The sequence below is a fragment of the Homo sapiens genome, chromosome 15 (assembly GCF_000001405.40).
Source record: "Homo sapiens chromosome 15, GRCh38.p14 Primary Assembly".
NCBI classification, from domain to species: Eukaryota; Metazoa; Chordata; class Mammalia; order Primates; family Hominidae; genus Homo; species Homo sapiens.
Genome location: NC_000015.10, coordinates 40,417,618 through 40,438,352, shown reverse-complemented (window position 1 = coordinate 40,438,352; position 20,735 = coordinate 40,417,618). Strand labels below are relative to the sequence as shown.

The window sequence follows — 20,735 nt, the reverse complement described above, 5'->3', positions numbered from 1 at the left end:
TACACCCTGCCTGTCCCCCAAAGGGAACTTTTGGCCTCTCCTAGCCTCCTTCACCCAACTTTCAGGGACCTCTGCAACTGGGCCTCCTTCTTTCCCAGTCCAAAGCCCTTCCACAGCTGGAAAGGGCTCCACCTCTTCCTCCTTCCTTCGGTCCTGTAACCTTTCCTGAGTGAATGCTGCCTCCACCCCACTTCACTGGGCAGCTGTGCCAACGCCTGGGGCCCATCACCTTTCCTCTCCCTGGTATGTTTGGCAGCCCAGAGGTCTCCCACTGAAAAAAGGGTTTGGCACTTGGTGTAGAAAGAGGAATGGGTCCATCGGGTCTCCGGAGTCTTTCCCGGGCTGCTGCCAGGCAGGGGCTCTCTCTCCCCAGACACCTCCAGACCCATCGGGAAGGGTTAACTGCCTCAGAGGGAGATGCCCTAGAGTAAAACATCCAGGGCCAGAGAGACCACGCGGCGCACCCTTCCCCCACCACACACAACCAGACTGACAGCCGGGACAGACTGGCTGCTCGGTCATCTCCAGCCCAGCCCCAGCACCTCCCCGCCACTGCCCGCTGCAGTCCCCGAAGACCGCCTGGCCTGAGATCCAACCACCTGGCACCAGGCAGGGCACCCCAACGGCAGTGCAGTCCCTGCAGTGGTGGCAGTGACCACTTTCTCCTCCCTCCAGCCCCTGCCCAGGTCCCACCTTCTTTCCTGGAAGTGGGGCAGCCCCTGTCCCAACCCCCAGAGCACCTGAAGTCTAGGTCCCCACAATACTTACTGAGCCACCCGGCTCCTCAGCCCCACTGGACGAACTGAAGGGCACAGCTCTTTGGGGGAGGGACACCAAGGCAACAATTAAATGCGGCAGCAGCACTTGCCCCCTCCCCCATCATAGGAAGCCCCTGGGGGGTGGGGGAATAAAGAAAGCTGGACTTTTATAGTCCTTTTGCTGTGACCCACTCCCTCTTAAAGGGATTGGAACACCCCTCCTTAAAGGGATCTCCAGAAATTATTTGCCCCCCAGGCAAATCCTAGTGCAGAAGTCTGGTCTTTACCTGCGGGGGCCCTCTTCCCTAGGGATGAGGAGGTAGAAGTGCTCCTCCTGACTCTTGAGCTGGAGGGGCAAGGTACCCTCCTACCACCAAGGAGCCAGCTGTTGAGTGCCCAGTGAGGAACAGGACCTCTCCCTCCCCTGAAGGCAACTACGGCCCCGGCCTTGGGGGTGGGGAGGTCCCGGTGAGGTAGGGACTGTGTGGGACTCAGTCTCCGCACAAGAAGGAACAAGGGGGCTGCATGCGCTCAGACTTTGGGGAACACATGTCCATGGCGCTGTGTCCAAAACCCCCATCTGCCCAGCGCTAGCCTCCAGATTGCCGGCCAGGGGACGTCTTTGCAGTCTGCCTCTCCCCGTAAAAGCTGTTTCTGCATTCTCCTTCCCGCTCTCTGAATCCCGTCTCCTACCCTCTTTGGGGCCCTATGCCTTTCTCTTGGGGTGCATTCTCTGCCCCTCACCCCAGTCGCCTCCTCCGCAGCCCCAACAACTGCGGGCTACACCCTATTTCAGGCTGTCTCCAGACCTAATCGGAGTGTCCCCGGGGTCCTTCTCACCCCGCCCACACCCCCGACTACCGTCAAGTGGTGGGGGATGGGCACCCCCCAGGCTCCCGGGAGCCCAGCAGAGTCGCATCTTAGCCCTTGGGCTCACTTGGTCCCCAGTCTCACCCTGCCTCTGGGACTGCAGAGTTCAAGGAGGGGGTGGGTGTAAGTGGGGGAGGAGGTGTCCGAGGGTACTGCAGCCTGAGAGAGGGACAGAGTCGGAAGTGGGCACTCACTGAGGCCACCCCCCCTCTGCCCCTCCTCCCTTCGCTGGGGGAGGGTCGACGCTGCCGGGGGGAGAGGTTCCCCGGCGCTCAGGAGCCCTCCAAGGCCCCCACCCCTACCACTCCCTAGAGGAAAGACTCCCCCAAGGGCTGGAGCTCCAAGCCCTCCCCCCGGCAGCTGCGGCAGCCTCCGGCTGAGGTCAGGCTCCACCTCCTTTCTCCAGAGGGAGAGCGTGGAGGGTTGTTTGTTGTTGGGGTGTGAGAGAGAGAAGGTTCGAGATCACCTGGCCCGGTGGGCACGGCTCCGGAGCGGGAGCGGGAGCGGGAGCTGGGCCGGGTGGGCTGGCTTGGGCAGGAGCCCGCCGCAAGGGCGAAGGACTCCCCTCGCCCACCCCCAACCCCGGCTCCGAGCCCGCGGCCTGGGCGCCCCCTCGTCGCGCCCCCGCCCGGCTCTCCGGCCCGCGTAGGGTGCCAGGACGCCCCAGGCAGAGGGCCTGCCTTAGGGTTACCACGGGGAGCCAGGCTTTCCTGCTCTCCAGGAGCCTGCAGTCGGAGGCTGGGATGGGCTGGGGCTAGAGAGACAAGTAGACAGAAAACAGAGTGATAACTTTATGACAGCAACACGTAATGGCTGCTGAGGACGAGGGAAGGCTGCCAGGGTCTGCCCCTGGCAAGGGGCTGGGGTGAGGTGCGGGGACGTTCCAAGAAGGGGCTAAGCCGAGAGCGGAGCCTGAAGGAGCAGGCACTCTTCGGGCAGGCTGCCATAGGTAGGGGAAAGATGAGGACACCCCAAGCGCCGAGTACCAGTTTCAGCAAAGGTGCAGAGCTGTGGTATAGGGGTGAGGCAGCAGATGAGGCTGGAGAAGTGGGTAGGGCCACCTAAGCTTTGTAAACCCTGCCAAGGAGCTCTGTCCCAAAGACGTTGGAGAACATAGAAGGATTTTGAGGAAAGGAAGCTTCTGGTCTGAGATCCAAGAGGCGAGTTGGGGGAGCAGCACGCGGGGTGTGAGTTCAGGCAGGAGGATCTTGCATCTCAGTTCCCTCGCAGTGCTCACCTGCTCCAGGGACGTCTGACCTCGGGTCTCGCCCTCCCTCCCAGGTGGGTGTTGGGCGGAAAAGGTCTGCCCTAGGGGAAAGAGAGCCCTCTTTTAGCGCTGTCCACAACCCCAGCGGCTCCTGCCTGCCAACCAGGAGCTCTACCATCTCTTTCCCCGGGGAAGAAATGGAGAGACCCCCATGCTCCACTCCTCCCTCACTCGCTAAGATAGGCAGCCCTCCCAGAATCCGTGTCATTTCCGGAGCAGCAACAAGAAAGACAAACATGGGGACGAGCTTCGCTTCACCCTCCAGGTGCTTTTTCCCCCACCCCAGGTGGTGCACATTTCTCATAAAAACCATATAGGAACAGGGGCAAACGACATCCTATATTGGTTTCTCATTCTCGCCCCAATCTCAGTAGGTATATGCAATTACTATCGCCATTTCACAAATTAGGAAATTGAGGCTTAGGGCCATTAATGCCTGGCCTGAGCCACACAGGCAGGGCTTATACCCTAGCCGGAATTGTACCACTTGCCCAAGCCCCCAACACTGACTTCTGCAAGCTTGGAGAGGCTGACCCCACTGGACTTCTGAGGCCAGGGATGGCCAGGTTCAATAGTAAGGGGTGTGAGGGTGTCAGTGAAGCCTCATGCTATAGCCCTGCCCTTTCCTGTGAGCCTCTTCCCATGACACCGGGAAGCAGATTCCCTGGGGCTTTTCTTTGGGGTCTCCAGCATAGGTCGTGCCCATTCATATTTGTTTATGGATCTCCCAGAGTCCTCCAGAATCCTCATACTCACAGTCCAAGCCTGACTTCCTGGAAAGGTCTCCCGAAGCTCAGGTGAAACTCTCCTGAAGCTCAATTCCACCTTGCTCCCTGCTGCCCTGAACTCTATGCACTCCAAGTTGTCTCCTCCTCACACATTCCTGACCATCTGCTGCTTTGCCCGTAAGTCTTTATTTATAAGATTATAAACCCCTGGAGGGCAGGCCTATGGCTTTAACATCCTCTTTATGGCTTCCTGTGTGTCTAGCACAGTCCTGGCCCCAAGGAAGGATGGCATTCTAGGTCTCTCATAACCTGGCCCCAGGACATACAGCCCTCTACCTCTCCCCTTTCACAGGCACACTTAGGGCTCCCAAACTAATAGCCTTTGAGCAAAAGTAAGCAGGCAGACAAGTTCCATTTAACTGTCTATGGGGCTTTCAAAAAAGATTAAAATTAGGGGCCAATGCTGAAATTTTTGGAGATTCAAAATAAAAATCCAGGTTTACAGTTTCTCTTGAAAAAAATCAGAAGATTTGCTACCCCTGGCGCACATTTTCACTTGCAACAGTAGGTTGGTACTAAGTAGCAAATGCAGTCTGTATGGGGTAGGCATGCTCCAGTTTACCATACTCCCACCTTGCCCATGTGGGGCATTTACGGGACCTGAACCCTGAAGGTTTTCAGGTGTGTGATCCTTGCCCTGCACTGTGGCCACAGAGACATGGATGGGTATCGTGGTGCAGCCCTTTGCAGTGTCTAGTTCACTGGAACCTACTCAGAGAGCCCTGTTGCATTCTCATGCCAATCTCTAATAGTACCTTCATTATTGCCCCAGGAGCAGATGTTTACTGAACACACTCCAAGATCCATGGACCCAGGCTGGAGACGAAAAGGGAAATTAAACATGGTCCAGAGTTTGTGGGCTCTTCTAGGTGACTCCTGAGAACATGGCATGATACCTGGCAAATAGTAGTTGCCTAATAATGCTTGGTGAACTGAATAGTAAACAATTGGTAAATAGAAACTGAATGGATAAATACACAGAGAGGGGAGAATTATTCCAAGAAACATGACATTTCTGTGATGATCTAGGTTTGGGTTGCTTGGGACCTCAGCTTCCAGGGTCACCTCCTTTACTGTTACCAGAACACTTGTCCGCTCAGATATCAACTTGGAGTATGACTTCTCCCCTGAGGAACTCCCAGTGCTGTGGACTGGAAGACCAGGGGTGCATCCACTATGTTGGTTCCTTTATTCCAGACGTACAGACCCCTGGGAAGATGAAGAAATCCAGATCTGGAATGGGCAGTGTATTGAGAGCCTCCAAAGCCGGCAGGAGGTCCAGAGGGGGCAGGTGTCTCTTACAGAAGGCATGAACAGGCACTCAACATACGTTTCTTTATTTAACCCTCAAGAACTCTGGTAGGTAAATGTACTCTCAAATTTACAAACAAATGAGGAAACTGAGACCTGGAGAATCTAAGTAACTGCCCAAGATCACATAGGCTTGGAGTGGCTCCAAAACCTTTGCTTTTTTTTTCATACGGCATTTAACATATAAAATAGAGGTCTAACCCTTTATATGTCTAAAAGCTTTCTTCTTTCTACATTTCACATAGCGTAGTGGTTAAGAATGCAGACTTTCTGAGTACAGTCCTGGCGCTACAGTGTCTTAAAACATATAAAGTACTTAGAATAGTACCTGATGTAGCCACAAGTGCCCCCAGAACATTAGCAATTGTGAATCTATTTCATCATGCCCAAATCTGGCCATGCCTGAAGCCTGCCCTGCTTCCATACTGGAATCAGTCTTCCACCTCTGTTTTGTACTCCTTGTCTCCCATCTGGAGCTCTGACAATGTAGTGCCTGTGGCTGTATTCTGTCCACCCAGCAGTGGGCCCCACTCTGGCTTCAGTCAGGCAGGATGGCTCCCTTTGCTGGGTTTGGAGGAGAGGCCAGCCCCTCTTCCCATGGCTTCTCCATTCCATCCTCCCAAGGCCAGGGCCCTAGCCATTTCCCTCTTCGGGAAAGATTCTCTGTGGCATCCCTAAGCACATTCCTCAAGGTGAGGTAGTTCCATCTCCTACAGGCTCTCAGCCACAGCCACTGACCTCTCTAGTCTTGCAAAACCCAGAGCAGAGGAGAGAATCACCTGTGGTTCTTTTGCCATCTTCACTTAACCTCAGTGAACCCACAGCAAGAGCCAGGACCAGCCCTTTCCAGCAGACACCCTCTGGGGGGACTACAGTCTGGGCCACAAGTATGGTGTTAACCAACCATGGTGCCACCTGTGCTCTGCACTGTGCAGGCACCAAGAAGACTTGGGAGGCCATGCAGACAGCATTGCTTCTGACCTAGGAAAGCTACTCCACCCAGCAGAGGCGTGATCCTCAGAAACTGAAGAGCACATCAAAGAGTGTATGACCTAAGCAAGACTGGGCCAGATGATTAGTAACTGGAAAAGTGACATCAAGACTTAGATATGATAGGCCAGGCGCAGTGGCTCACACCTGTAATTCCAGCACTTTGGGGGGCCGAGGTGGGCGGATCACTTGAGGCCAGGAGTTCAAGACCAGTCTGGCCAATGTGGCAAAACCCTGTCTCTACAGGTGTGGTGACACGCATCTGTAGTTCCAGCTACTCAGGAGGCTGAGGCATAAGAATCGCTTGAACCTGGGGGGTGGAGATTGCAGTGAGCCAAGATGGAACTATTGCACTCCAACCTGGGTGATGGAGTGAGAATCTATCTCAAAAAAAAAAAAAAAAGACTTAGATATGAGAGGCCTGACAATTTTTCCCCTTGATTTGTGAATATTATACTATATTTAAAAATCTAATAAGGGCATTTATAAAAATTACACTTAGTTATATAGACAACAACTCTTCTTTGTTGAAAGGGATTATGGGAAATCAGCAATTGCCTTTTTCATTGCTTCCCTCTGTCAGGGTGTATTCTGTGATAGGTAATGTTCCTGGAGAGATTCCATGAGTTAGGCACTGTGTTAAGCTCTTTACACATAATCTTTTTTTTTTTTTTGAGATGGAGTCTTGCTCTGTAGCCCAGGCTGGAGTGCAGTGGCGTGATCTCAGCTCACTGCAAGCTCTGCCTTCCAAGTTCACACCATTCTCCTGCCTCAGCCTCCCGAGTAGCTGGGACTACAGGCGCCCGCCACTGTGCCCAGCTAATTTTTTGTATTTTTAGTAGAGACGGGGTTTCACCATGTTAGCCAGGCTGGTCTCGGTCTCCTGACCTCGTGATCTGCCTGCCTCGGCCTCCCAAAGTGCTGGGATTACAGGCGTGAGCCACTGCGCCCGGCCTACACATACTCTTAATCCCCAGCCAGTCTTATGAAATAGATAGTGTTATTATTCTCATTTTACTAATGAGAAAACTGAGGCATAGAGAGGTTCGGTAACTTCCCAGGGTCACATTAATAATAGTGGAGCCGGCTGGGCACGGTGGCTCACACCTGTAATCCCAGGTCTCAGGGAGGCAGAGGTGGGAGGATAGCTTGAGCCCAGGAGTTCGAGACCTGTCTGGGCAATAAAGCGAGACCCCGTTCTCCACAAAAAGGAAGAAAAAAAAAGACAAAAAAAAAAAAAGCGTAATAATAGTGGAGCCAGGGTTTACATCCCAGCCTTGTCACTTTTAATGATTTCTCCATCACTTCTTCCTAAATAAGCTTCCCCAAACAATTCTCTACTCTTATGTTTTCCAAATGTCTGTTAGCAACTCATTCAAATTTTACACATGAAGTTGCTGTGAGCAACATTCATCTCACTGTTAGATTGGGGGCAAAATGTTGCAAGTCGATTGTCATATTTCTTTATAAAAAGATATTCCTTTGGCAAAGCCGTTATCAAAAGTACCCTTTCCCTGCCTTCTGCACTCTCTTTGACACTGAAACATCAATATGGTCTTTCAAGAACATCAGATACACTTCAGCCAACTTCCAACTACAAGCAAACTCAGTGTTCTCCCAATGTTTCCACTGTGGGGTGCACTGGCAGTTTTAAGAGTCAAGAACCTTGGACTCATCCTTGGCACCTCCCTCTCCCTCCCAAGCCGCCACCCATAGCTAATCCATCACCACAGCCTGTCATTTACTGGAGTCTCCAGCCTCGAATCTCCTCCCACCTCTGTGATCAACCACAGCCCAGCCTCCCGCATCCACTCTGCCCCAGTCAGAGGGATCTTTCCAAAATAGACTGCCTCATAGCACTCTCCTGCTTAAACCCTTCCGTGACTCCTGCTTACACTCAGCATAAAGATCCAAATCTGGAACTGACTATTGTTGCCGCCCCAGCCAGGAGGCTCCTCTGATCTCATCTCTCGGGCTCAGTCACACTCCGCAACCTGCAATGCTCTCCTCCTAGCAAGCCTGGCAAGCCGGTGATTCCTGGCTAAGATCTGCCTCCCCGGCTAGGCTAGGGTGAAAACCACATCTGCGTCTCCCTGGGTCCTCCTGTTTCTCCATGGCCCACAGGGTACCTGCACATGATAGGTTCTCAGTAACAGCTACTCAGTGATGAATGAATGGCAGAGAAATCAAGCCTTTGCCTGTGCCGCAGCGGCTCTGCACCCTGACTGCTCTGCCAGGTGGCCACAGTGCTAGACTTCCATATTAGCTTAGAAAACTACCTCTTGCAGCCACACTGCGTGCCAGGCTCTGCCTCCCTACCTTTAAACACACCCATCCTGACCCAGTTTGCCTGTTTTCAGGAGTGATCACCAACATTTGTACTTTTTGTGACTTGTACATATTTTTACTATAAAATGTCCTGACCTGATTCATTCAACAACTGGATAACAATTGGTTATGGGTTTGACAAGGAAGACTCATTGAAATCTGGAGGCATAAAAGTTACAGTTCTGGCTTCGGCAGTCCAGATGGCTTCCCTGAGAAGCTAGAGGCTGCGGCCCCAGAACTCTGTTCTTTTAGCTGCCACTAAAAAGATGGAAGAATTTAGTTCAAGGCGAAGCCTTGAGATTCCCCCCTGCCCACTCCTGCCCTCCCAGCTCCAAGGCCGCCCTTGATGTTTTATTTAAATCTGATTTCATCTAGATAAGGTTGGTGGAGGGCGAAGAAGTTATCCTCCCTGCAGCCTGCCCCCGCCCCCTGCTTTGCATTCATTATGCAAGTATTTATTTGGAGGGAGAGGGCCTCCACTGAGCCAAGTGCAAAGTGCTGGGGATACGGCAGCAAACCAGAGACAGGTGGGCGTGTAGATGGGTTAGTGCTCATGCTGGGTCTTAAAGAATGGGTAACATTAAAATTGGAGTAATTGAGATGTCTCATAGTTTTTATGTCTATCTCCCCAACTAACTCGTAAACTTTTTTGGCCCCGTACTGTTACTAGTCTTTGAATCCCTGGCACCCTGGGACATAACAGTCCCTCAGCAAATGCCAGTTCTTAACTGAGCAGGGGATTGGTGGATGTGGGGGCAGGTCACTCGTGTGGGCTGATCCTGGGGTGTGCCAGCTGGGGGACAGGTGCCTAAGTGAGGACGCTGGCCATGCCAGAGCATCCACTGGCAGGGGATGGAGTGGTGGGCCACAGGGGCTTGGCAGACCCTCTGAGGCACAGAGAGATGAAGTTTCCATGGGGCAGCAGGGAAATGAGTTGTATGGCTGTTCCTGGTGAGTGGGCAGGCTGGGCGGAGGGATGGGACTTATCAGAGGAGCTTGTAGTGTAAGATGGCTGAGCCCACAGGAGTGGCCATAGGGAGTTTCCAGCCTTGGGGATGAGGGGAATGCAGAATTGGGACCGGGCTGGGTCCTCATTACTGAGGGAAATGCTGTTGGGATCCACACAATGTGAGCTCTGAGGCAGCTGCAGATGTCCCAGGCAGGGCTGAGGACCCTGCATTTCTCTGCCCGATCCTTCTTTGGGGAGGCCTCACAGTCAGTCCTACAGAGAGATTGTCTTGTTGCCCCTATTGGCAACAGGCTCCACATTCTGGGGCACTTCCAGGGCTCTTGCCCCACCCCCCACAGCCTCTCTCCAGGCTCAGGAGTCCCGAACAGGAGGTTGCAGCCCCCTTGGAGGTGTGGGTGATCAGGTGGGAGGGCAGAAAAACTGCAATACAAAGGTCTCTGACAGCCTGGAGGGCCAGTGAATGGGGCACCTGGATGTGTGTGGCCAGGTTCCAAGCACCTGGGCGGCTTGGCCATGGAAGGAGAAGACTATGGAGGGCCCCCACTTGCTCCTTCACTCTGGAGCCAAGCAGCCTCCTAGGGAGGGAGGGTACCAGGGGAGAGGGAGGTCCCAAAGGCCAGCCTATTTCACAACCACCTGCTTCTCCAGCCTCAAAGGACCGTAGAGTATACTTTGCCCGGGGTACCTGGGAGAGAGGGGCTGGGAAGAGGTACAAGAGGACCTGGAACTGGCTGGATCTCAATATCTAGGTGGTGATTCTGAACTGCTGCCAGCTCCGGGCCTTGGAAGCAGTCTTAGGAAGGGAGAGCAGATCTCAGCTCTCTCAAGCAGTCTCAAGCAGCAGTCATATAAAACCCACAAACAGTCCAGTCTTTTTTTTTTTTTTTTTGACACGGAGTCTCACTCTGTCACCCAGGCTGGAGTGCAGTGGCCAAATCTCGGCTCACTGCAACCTCCGTCTCCCAGGTTCAAGCAATTCTCCTGCCTCAGCCTCCTGAGTAGCTGGCATTACAGGTGCGTGCCACCACACCCAGCCAATTTTTTTATTTTTAGTAAAGACGGGGTTTCACCATGTTGGCCAGGCTGGTCTCAAACTTCTGACCTCAGGTGATCTGCCCGCCTCAGCCTCCCAAAGTGCTGGGATTACAGGCATGAGCCACCGTGCCTGGCAGTCCAGTCTTAATTAGCAACCTTGGACTGGTCTGACTCCCACCCTTCCACTCTGGGCCACTGGTGGGCTTCTGGAAAGAAAGGAGGGGCTGGGCAGGATGCAGGCCAGTTATGAAGGACATCAAGTCTTCCTTCACTACCCTTTTCTCATTTCAGGTTCCTCTTTCCCCCTATTTTAAATCTTAATATATCTTATAGTAAAGTTATCTTAATTTATCTTATAGTAAATTTCATTTAACTATTCTACTTCAACAAGTAAAGAGACCCACTGTATGCCCAGCCCTGGCCAGCCTGCAGCATCAGACAAGACTCAAGTATGAACTAAGGGATTTTGCTACTCTATTCCTGTAAATAGAAAGACTTTGCGGGAGGGGGCAGGTTGTCCTGAAAACACATGTCTTTGTAGAGGTTGCCTCTTGGGAACCCAGGCAGATGTGCAAGGGGACTCTCAAGGCAGGCCAGGCAGGCAGCCCCCAGCGCTGGGCTTATCTCCCACAAGCAGCTGCGTGTTCACGCTCCTTGCCTCTGCTCCTGCAGCGTGTCTGACAGCCTCTCTGAAAGTGTGTGCAGACGTATGCATGTCCATGTGCATGCTCACCCATGTTTGCTCCTGGACGGGCACAAGGCACAAGCTGTGTCTGAATGGATCTGGATCTGGAGCTGTGTCTCTCTCTGCCAGTGCGAGCGTAGCCCTAGTCTTCTTGCTTCCTTCCTTCCTTCTTCTGCCAGCAAGGGCAGCCCTCTGTACTTCCGCCACTGATCCACTGGCCACCTTTGAGGAGCGGAGGTACTGCCTGTGCTGAGATATTCCTGGGCCTGGAATACCTTTTTTTCTTCAAGAAAATTCCCACTTATCTATCCAGCCCTTACTCTCTCGTGTCTTCCAGGGCAAAACTGGAGCATCCGGCTGCCTGGCAGGGTAAATGGAAACGTAATTGTTGCTCTCTGAGGCTGGTCTGTGCTAAATCATTACCATCTCCCCAGCCCGTCGCCCAGTGCATGGGTCTTAGTAGCTTGCCTATAAAGGTTTGTTCAACATGTGGTTTATGGGCCTGGCTGGGGAAGCAGCGATGCACAGATGCACACTTTTGCCATCTGATTTCTCTCCCTTGCTGAAAATAAGCTCATGGGGTTAGCCCTGGGGCTGGCATTCAACTTTTGCCCCAAGTCACCTCTGGTGGCATCATTCTAATAGGCCCACAACTACTTTGGAAAACAGTTTTGAATTATCTAGTAAGGTTGATCAGGTGCATAGCCTACAACAGATAAATTATATTCCTGGGACTATGACTTGAGGAACACTTGCACATCTGTATCAGAAGATACCCACAGGAATGGTTTTTTCTTTTCTTTTTTTTTTTTTGAGACAGTGTATCGCTCTGTTGCCCAGGCTGGAGTGCAATGGTGTGATCTCGGCTCACTGCAACCTCTGCCTCCCAGGTTCTAGCTATTCTTGTGCCTCAGCCTCTAGAGTAGCTGGGATTACAGGCATCCACCACCACACCCGGCTAATTTTTGTATTTTTAGTAGAGATAGGGTTTCACCATGTTGGCCAGGCTTGTTTCAAACTCCTGACCTCAGGTGATCCACCCGCCTCGGCCTCCCAAAGTGCTGGGATTACAGGTATAAGCCACCGCGTCTGGCCAGGAATGTTTTAGAATAGCCCCAAACTGGAAACAGCCCAAATGTCCATCGACAGTAGAATGGACAATTAAATTGTTGTATTTCCACATTATGGAATACTACACAAGAAAAAAAATTGAAGAGATTACAGTCCTGCTCATTAACATGAATGAGGCTGGGCACCGTGGCTCACACTTGTAATCCCAGCACTTTGGGAGGCTGAAGCAGAAGGATGGCTTGAGCTCAGGAGACCAGCCTGGGCAACATAGTGAGACCCTGTCTCTATAACATTTAAGAAAAAAAAAAAAAAATAGCCGGACTGGGCCTTTAATCCCAGCTACTGAAGAGACTGAAGTGGGAGAATCACTTGAGCCCGGGAGGTCAAGGCTGCAGTTAGTCATGACTGCGCCGCTGCACTCCAGCCTGGGTGACAAAGTGAGGCCCTGTCTCAAAAACAATAAAAAATTTAAAAGAGCTGAGCATGGAGGCCACTTTGGGAGGCTGAGGCAGGCAGATCTCTTAAGCCCAGGAGTCTGAGACCAGCCTGGGCGACATGATGAAGCCCCATCTCTACAAAAAATACAAAAAAATTAGCTGAGCTTTATGGCAAATCCCTGTAATCCCAGTTACCTAGGAGGCCCAGGCAGGAAGATGGCTTGAGCCCAAAAGGTTGAGGCTGTAGTGAGCTGTGATCATGAACAGAGTGAGACCCTGTTTCAAAACAAAATGAAAAACAAACAAACAAAAAAACCAAGAAAACAAGAAAACAAAAACTATACAATGATGAGCCAAAAAGCAAGATATGGAAGAATATATATATATATATATATATATATAGTATGAGTCCAGCTATAGAAAGTTTGAAATCAGGCAACCTAAACAATATTGTTCAGGGATCTATACAGAGGCAGGAAGCCATTGAGAAAGGTAAGGGGAGGATTATCACCAAATTCAGGATGGTGGCTCCCCTGGGGAGAATATGTCAAGGAGGGGCACATGGGCTTGGAATACTGTCTTCATTGACCTGCGTGTTGGGTACACAGGAGTTTGTTATTTTTCACACTGCATATGTGCATGTATATACTCTCCCATATATACCATGCATTTCACACAAGAACACAAAGGCTGTGTGGCTCTGCTCTGCCCCTTTCCCCTTCCAGCTCCCATTCTCGTCCTCAGCTAGCAGAGGAGGGTCAGGGTCTTTTAGCACAGCTTCCTTCTGTCTCTGAGTGGGTCAGAGGAGTACGGGGATGAGGGCCTCCCTTCTGCGGCTGGGCTCTGGCCACTCCAGGGTGGGAAGGCCTGGAGAAAACAGGGCCAGGCAAAGCCGGCTGGCCCTGCTGTTTCTGCCAATGCTGGGATTAGGCCAGGGCTCTGGCCCACCTGTCATTTCACTCATTCAGCATGAACATAGCCACTGAGCACTTACTGTGAGCCCCGGGTGCTATTGGGAGAGTTCAGATAAGTGAGAGAGGGTCTTTGACCTCAAAGATCTTACAGAGAGGACCGTATACACAAATAACAGTATACCAGCAAAATGTGAGCTAAGTGTCATGTGACTACTCATCTACTCTTTCAATAAATATTTGTTGTGCACCTATTACATGCCAGGAACTGTGCTGGATGGTGATCATGTAAAGACAGTCAAATCACAGTCCTAGCTCTCAGATTCACAGCCTGCCTAATGCTGGGGAAACTGGAATAAACAACTGTGTGGCAAGCCCATCAGTGCAGATATGCCCAGGGAGAAGGAGAAAGGGGACCCATCCAGGATGGATGAGATGGAGACAGAGGAATGAGGGAAGGTTGGAGAAGAGAGGTCTTCCTGAAGGAGGCAGGCCCTGGCCTGAGGCTTTAGAGATGAGGAAGCAAGAGAAAGTTTGAAGGGCTGGAAGGACTTCCAGAGCTGCCCCAGACCAAAGGCACAGGGATGAGAAACATGGCAGTGAGGACTCCTTGCAACAAGAACACGAACATTCAGCAGGGAAGGAGGGAAGCAGCAGAAGGGGAAGGCCCAGGGGGATCAGAGTCATATTTGCCTTGCCAAGCCTTAGATCTTACAGGTGCTGGGAGCCACTGAAGAATTTGCGGGGAGCTTGATAGTTCACTGGTTCAGTGTAGAGGAAGGGTTGAGGGGCATGGCCTGGAAGAAGGAAGGCAAGTTGGCAGGATGTTAAGATCCAGGAAGTATTTAAGAGATACCAGGCTAGCCTCTGAGAGTGGCTGGGTGGTGGGTGAGGGAAAGAGGCCAAATTCTGGAACGGCCCCCTGCAAGAGTAACCAAGTGGCGCACACAGGGAGAGGAGAGCTCCCACTCGGCACTAGCGTGGCTGTAGGCTCTGGGTACCAAGTGTGGGCAGGGGTTGGGGACAGCCAGGAATGTGAATGGGGCTCTGCACCACCTGATTTCAGGGCTCCCAAACACTGGCCCGTGGACAGGGCTGGCCCGAGGAAGTGAAAAAAGTATGGGCATAACTTCTCATAAATCAAATGTATGCACTTTAAAGAACTATCCTTGGGCCGGGCATGGTGGCTCATGCCTGGAATCCCAGCACTTTGGGGGGCCGAGGTGGGCAGATCATGAGGTCAAGAGTTTGAGACCAGCCTGGCCAATATGGTGAAACCCTGTCTCTACTAAAAATACAAAAATTAGCCGGGCATGGTGGTGTGCACCTGTAGTCCCAGCTACTCGGGAGGCTGAGGCAGAAGAATCGCTAGAACCCAGGAGGCGGAGGTTGCAGTCAGCTGAGATTATGCCACTGTACTCCAGCATGGGCGAGAGAGCGCAAGATTCCGTCTTAAAAACAAAAACAAAAACTATCCTTAAAAGTGCTTACAATTAAATCAATAAGTAAGCATGTCACTTAGAGGTATGAAGTGAATTATCAAAAGAAGCCCCTTAAAGATTCAAAAGTGGTTTTGTCCTGGGAGTGGGAATGGGGATAGGAGGGACAGGGGACTTTTATTTTTTTAAATAAGCTTTTAAAAACTGTAGTATTTTTTAAAACAGTGAACATAAAGCATATACAAAAATTTAAGGGCTGGGCACACTGGCTCAACGCCTATAATCCCAACACTTTGGAAAGTGGAGGCAGGAGGATCGCTTGAGCCCAGCAGTTGAGCCCAGCCTGGACAACATGGTGAAAGCCCGGCTCTACAAAAAATACAAAAATTAGTCTGGCATGGTGGTGCACACCTCTAGTTCCAGCTACTGGGGGGCTGGGGGTGGGTGGCAAGGGGGAGGACTGAGGCCAGAGGATCCTTGAGCCAGGGAGGTCGAGGCTGCAGTAAGCTGAGATCACGCCACTGCACTGGGTGACAGAGTGAGATCCTGTCTCAAAAATAAATAAATAAACAAACAAATAAAAATCCTGGCCTAGCTGGGCGTGGTGGCTCATGCCTGTAATCCCAGCACTTTGGGAGGCTGAGGCCGGTGGATCAATTGAGGCCAGGGCTTTGAGACCAGCCTGGCCAACATGGTGAAACCCCGTCTCTACTAAAAATACAAAAATTAGCCAGGCATGGTGGCACATGCCTGTAATCCCAGCTATTTGGGAGGCTAAGGCACGAGAATCGCTTGAACCCTAGATGTGGAGGTTGCAGTGAGCTGGGATCGCGCCACTGCACTCCAGCCTAGATGACAAAGTGAGACTCCGTCTTAAAAAAAAAAAAAAAAAAAAAAAAAAAAAAAAGTCGGCCGGGCGCGGTGGCTCACGCCTGTAATCCCAGCACTTTGGGAGGCCGAGGTGGGTAGATCATGAGGTCGGGAGATCGAGACCATCCTGGCTAACACGGCGAAACCCCGTCTCTACTAAAAATACAAAAAATTAGCCGGGCATGGTGGCGGGCGCTTGTAGTCCCAGCTACTCGGGAGGCTGAGGCAGGAGAATGGCGTGAACCTGGGAGGCGGAGCTTGCAGTGAGCCAAGATTGCGCCACTGCACTCCAGCTTGGGCGACAGAGCGAGACTCCGTCTCAAAAAAAAAAAGCCTTTTATGAAATGATGGTAATAGAGGATAGGCTTCCCCCAACCCCTCTTCCCTTTCATGTCCTTATTGGCTAAAACAAAACGTCGTTGAGTCCTGAAATCCCAAACTGGGGGCCTTGAACCCCAGGCAAAGGCCATATAGGCTGGCTCCGCGCGTTTGCAACCCAACCCCGCGGGCAGCCGGCAGGGGTCAGGCGAGCTCCATGCGACACTCGAGCTGCGTCTGGCAAGCCAGTGCTGCGCTCGAAGAAGCGCGCTGCCTCGAGGGAGAGGGTCAGAGGAAGGACTCTGGACCTGCCCTAGGCTGGGGGTCGCGACAGATGGCCACCTGGGTCTTAGGTCCCAGCTCCCACCCGGCAGGCAGGGACTGGGAACCTCTCTCCAGACCGCGCGGTGTGTTGACACCAGGTCTAGTCCCATTCCACCGAGGGCAACTCACCTTACCGGTCTTCTGAAAGGGGGCCCTGCGCGAAACCTTGCCTCCTGCACTCGGTTGTGCAAAGATCAAGGATCTCAGACTTGAGAGGGTTACATGGGCAAGGGATTGTTATCACTAGATTATATGGATTTAGAATTAGGACTTAGGCTCCTGGGGAAGCCTGCTTTAGGACTCAGATGGTGGTTGTAGAAGATTGCCTTGCAGACTCACCCTTGGGGATGTGATTAGGTCTGGGGCAGGATCCAGGAACCTGCATTTATTCTAGGTTGCCAAATTTTGATAAGGGGTGTGCTCAGACCACGCTTAAAAAACATCCCAAGGTTCTGTTGCCCTCCCACAGGGCAGGCAGCATCAACAGCAGCGAGCTGCCCTGATAGTGTGACCTGCCTAAAATTGGAGTGGAGTAAGAGCCAGCCGCAGGAAGGAGCAGTGCTGGCAGCTGGTGCTGCAGATTTGCCCAATGCATGTAGGCAACCAAACACGCCCACAAGAACCAAAGTAGACGTGCCCCTTGTTCTTCCATTTACCACTCAGGCTGCATGGTTCATTTTGTTTTTTTTGCTTTTAATTTTAAAACATTTATTTTGCTTCACATATAGAACCAGGAAAGAAATCACCTCCCCAAGTCGACAGGGCTTAGACAGACTGGATGAAGCGCCCCATTTTGCCACATTGTCTCCAGGCTGGTCTCTCCAGCCACACATTAAGCCAGCAAGATGGCCCTTTTAGTCACATTCATCTCCAACATAGCAGGGAGCAAGACAAGGAAGTGAAAGGGACTGCCTATGAGCCCAGGATCTTGCCCTCAGGATGGGACGGAACTGGGGTTGGTGAGGAGCCAACCCCACCTGTCTCAAGCCTCAGGCTAGGAACAGCACTTGGCTGCAGGCCAGGACCAAGAGCCAGGATAGGTGCTGCTGGGCTGAGAACCAAGAAAACCAGTTCCCTCTTTTTGGAACTCGGAAGGGGTGGAACAACCCAGACCCATTCCCTTCTCAGATCACACTCTATCCAGACTGCTGTACAGTGCGGCCCAAAGCTGGAATTCTCAGAACACCCCCATTTTTGCCATGAGCAGATCTGGATTCTAGTTCGTTTTGACCTTGAGAAAGTCAAATTGTGTTGATCTTTTTAAAAACAAAGGGGCGGTTTTCAGAAATCTATAAGCTTCCTTCTGGCTGTAAGAACTTAGCACTCTGGGCTCCCTGCTTCCTTTAAAACTCACTGGGAGATCTGGGAAAGGGAGGCTGAGACCTCTCTCCTAAGGGCTGATTTTACCTTCCTGTCCCTCATGAAAGAACGGGCTGGAGGACAGGAATAGGACCTGGGCCAGCCACTCTCCAAGGACACAAGCTGGATCCAGACAGGAAGCAGCGGCAAGTAGATTGCTTCTCCCCAGATAGGTTTGTTTCACAATATATTTAATACAAAATGGCAGCAGCCACTGTGCAGTTATAACAAAATTAGCCATAGGGTATCTGGAGAAATGTACACAGGCAGCCTCAGCTGGAGTCATGCGAGCCAACTCCGGCCTGCTCGGGTAGGGCCTGTGCCTGCTGCCCAGTCAGCTGTGGGTGGTCACACGGCCAGGACTGGATGGTGCCCGTGGCAGGGCGGTGCACAAGGGCTCAGAGGTGCTGTACAGGAGGAGCCAGTCTTCCAACAGTACACAAAAGCACGCTGTCCTCTGCTCTGCCCCCCCTGCGGACTCAGCAGCATGTGTGTTCATTTATTTTATTATTATTTTTTGAGACAGAGTCTCACTCTGTTGCCCAGGCTGGAGTGCAATGGCGCGATCTCAGCTCCTGCAACCTCTGCCTCCTGCGTTCAAGCGATTCTCCTGCCTCAGTCTTCTGTGTAACTGGGATTACAGGCGCGTGCCACCAGGCCTGGCTAATTTTTGTATTTTTAGTAGAGACGAGGTTTCACCATGTTGGTCGTCAGGCTGGTCTCGAACTCCTGACCTTGTGATCTGCCCGCCTCGGCCTCCCAAAGTGCTGGGATTACAGACGTTGAGCCACCATGCCTGGCCTATTATTTTTTGAGACAGAGTCTCGCTCTGTCGTCCAAGCTGGAGTGCAGTGGTGTGATCTTGGCTCACTGCAAACTCTGCCTCCCGGGTTCAAGCAATTCTCTGCCTCAGCCTCCTGAGTAGCTGGGATTACAGGAGCCTGCCACCACACCTGGCTAATTTTTGTATTTTTAGTAGAGACGAGGTTTTACCATCTTGGCCAGGCTGGTCTTGAACTCCTGACCTCGTGATCCACCTGCCTCGGCCTCCCAAAGTGTTGGGATTACAGGCATGAGTCACTGTGCCCAGCCTATTTTTCTTTCCTTTTTTGAGACAGAGTCTCACTCTATGGCCCAGGCTGGACTGCAGCGGTGTCATATTGGCTCATTGCAACCTCCACCTCCCGGGTTCAAGTGATTCTCCTGCCTCAGCCTCCTGAGTAGCTGGGATTACAGACGTGCACCACCACCCCTGGCTAATTTTTGTATTTTTAGTAGAGATGGGGTTTCACCACGTTGGACAGGCTGGTCTTGAACTCCTGACTGCAAGTGATCCACCTGCCTTGGCCTCCCAAAGTGCTGGGATTACAGGCACACACCACCTTGCCTGGCCAAGCAAGCATATGTGTTCATAAGCTGCTAGGAGCTGATACCTCTAGAAACTGGAAGAAACAAGGGCCAGGGTTTTTTTGTTTTGTTTTGTTTTTTGAAGAGTTTTGCTCTTGTCGCCCAGGCTGGAGTGCAATGGCACAAGCTCGGCTCACTGCAACGTCCGCCTCCTGGGTTCAAGTAATTCTCCTGCCTCAGCCTCCTGAAGTAGCTGGGATTACAGGTGCCCACCACCATGCCCAACTAATTTTTTTCTATTTTTAGTTGAGGCGAGGTTTCCACATGTTGGCCAGGCTGGTCTTGAACTCCTGACCTCAGGTGATCCACCCATCTCAGCCTCCTGAAGTGCTGGGATTACAAGCATGAGCCACCACGCCTGGCTAGGCTAGGTTTATTATTTTTTTCCCCCAGAAAAGAGACTGAAAGTTGAATTTGCCTTATCCAAAATGCTTGGAACCACAAGTGTTTCAGATTTCAGGATTAGGGATACTTAACCTGTACCAAGTTCCAATTCATGGAGAGGGGCCATGATTCTGCTGTGCTTGAGCAGAGAGATCTCCTTGCCAGAGCCTCACCCAAGAGAAAGAGGTGGGTACCTGCATGCCCCCAGGTGCCTACCCTGGGAGGTGGGCACCTGCATGCCCCCAGGTGCCTACCCTGGGAGGTGGGCTCAGAAGTTAGAGAGCAAGGGCACAGAGTCACCAAAACCTGTCCCAACAATCCCCAGACAATATGCTTCCTGCTGAGTCCATTTTAAATCACACAACACTAGCCGTGGCACAGGCCCGGCTGCGAGGCCCATGATGCTTGGGAGCTGTTGTGGAGAACTCAACCTCATCCAGAGGCCAGAGGGCTGACAAGAGCAGCTGGGCAGGAGGGCCTGCTGTGGGCAGGGTGGGAAAGCCGCCACATCTCTACTTCCCAAGAAAGGCCACTAGGTGCAGGAAAAGGGGGCGAAGGGTCTCAGGACTAGTGAAAGTCTGCATTGAAGGCTCTGCCGATGACCAGCCGCCTCACCTCGCTGGTCCCAGCCCCTATCTCATACAGCTTGGCATCTCGAAGAAAGCGGCCCATGGGAAAGTCATTGATGTAGCCATTGCCACCTGCAACCAGGGTTTGGGCAGAGAAGAAAGGAAGTGATTGACAAAACAAAGAAAGCAAACAGAATGCCAAGTATATAGAAACAGGCCACAGGAGGAGAGGGTGATTAAAGAAAAGCAGCAAAAGGTAGCAAGAGGGAGGGGTGTGGGGAATACACTAGTCCTTCCTTATCCTTGGAGGATACATTCCAAGACCCCAGTGGATGCCTGAAACCGTAGATAGTACCGAACCCCATATATATGTTGTTTTTTTCCCTATACATACATACTTATGAGAAAGTTTAATTTATGAGCTAGGCATAGTAACAGATCAACAATAATAACAAATACTAAAATAGAACTATTATGACATGCCAGCATCACTACTCTTGCAATCTGGGGCCACTGAGCAAAATAAGAGTTACTTGAACACAGGCACTCTGATATCAGGACAGCTGATTGGATACCCTAGGTGACTACTAACGGGCAGGTAGCCCACATAGCATAGATAGGCTGCACAAAGGGACGATTCACGT

General features: G+C 51.8%; 2 protein-coding genes across 24 annotated transcripts in view, besides 2 other annotated features; both read right to left on the bottom strand.

The window, feature by feature from the left end:
* The window catches only part of BAHD1 (bromo adjacent homology domain containing 1), a 30,785-nt gene extending 29,884 nt beyond the window's left edge, over window positions 1-901 (bottom strand). For all 3 annotated transcript variants that reach the window (XM_047432244.1, XM_011521369.4, XM_047432245.1), the window contains exon 1: window positions 769-901. The gene's annotated coding sequence lies outside the window, so the exon portion shown is untranslated. The remainder of the gene's footprint in view (window positions 1-768) is intronic.
* Window positions 846-1,383: an enhancer, noted in NCBI's record as "H3K27ac-H3K4me1 hESC enhancer chr15:40729169-40729706 (GRCh37/hg19 assembly coordinates)". NCBI's record gives its function as "activates a minimal SCP1, AML or CMV promoter by ChIP-STARR-seq in naive H9 embryonic stem cells {active_cell/tissue: H9 hESC(naive)}" and the evidence as "EXISTENCE:reporter gene assay evidence [ECO:0000049][PMID:30033119]".
* Window positions 1,384-1,922: an enhancer, noted in NCBI's record as "H3K4me1 hESC enhancer chr15:40728630-40729168 (GRCh37/hg19 assembly coordinates)". NCBI's record gives its function as "activates a minimal SCP1, AML or CMV promoter by ChIP-STARR-seq in naive H9 embryonic stem cells {active_cell/tissue: H9 hESC(naive)}" and the evidence as "EXISTENCE:reporter gene assay evidence [ECO:0000049][PMID:30033119]".
* IVD (isovaleryl-CoA dehydrogenase) overlaps window positions 2,406-20,735 on the bottom strand; it is a 30,153-nt gene continuing 11,823 nt past the window's right edge. For 6 of the 21 annotated variants that reach the window (XM_047432460.1, XM_047432461.1, XM_017022149.2 and 3 more), the window contains one exon: window positions 2,406-2,936. In XM_047432460.1, the coding sequence (XP_047288416.1) occupies window positions 2,620-2,936 (317 nt within the window). In that variant the 3' untranslated portion in view covers window positions 2,406-2,619. Of the gene's footprint in view, window positions 2,937-11,050; window positions 11,364-14,136; window positions 14,219-17,044; window positions 20,224-20,735 lie in introns of those variants that run through there. The other 15 variants (XM_017022154.3, NM_001354597.3, NM_001354599.3 and 12 more) reach the window with 6 other exon arrangements.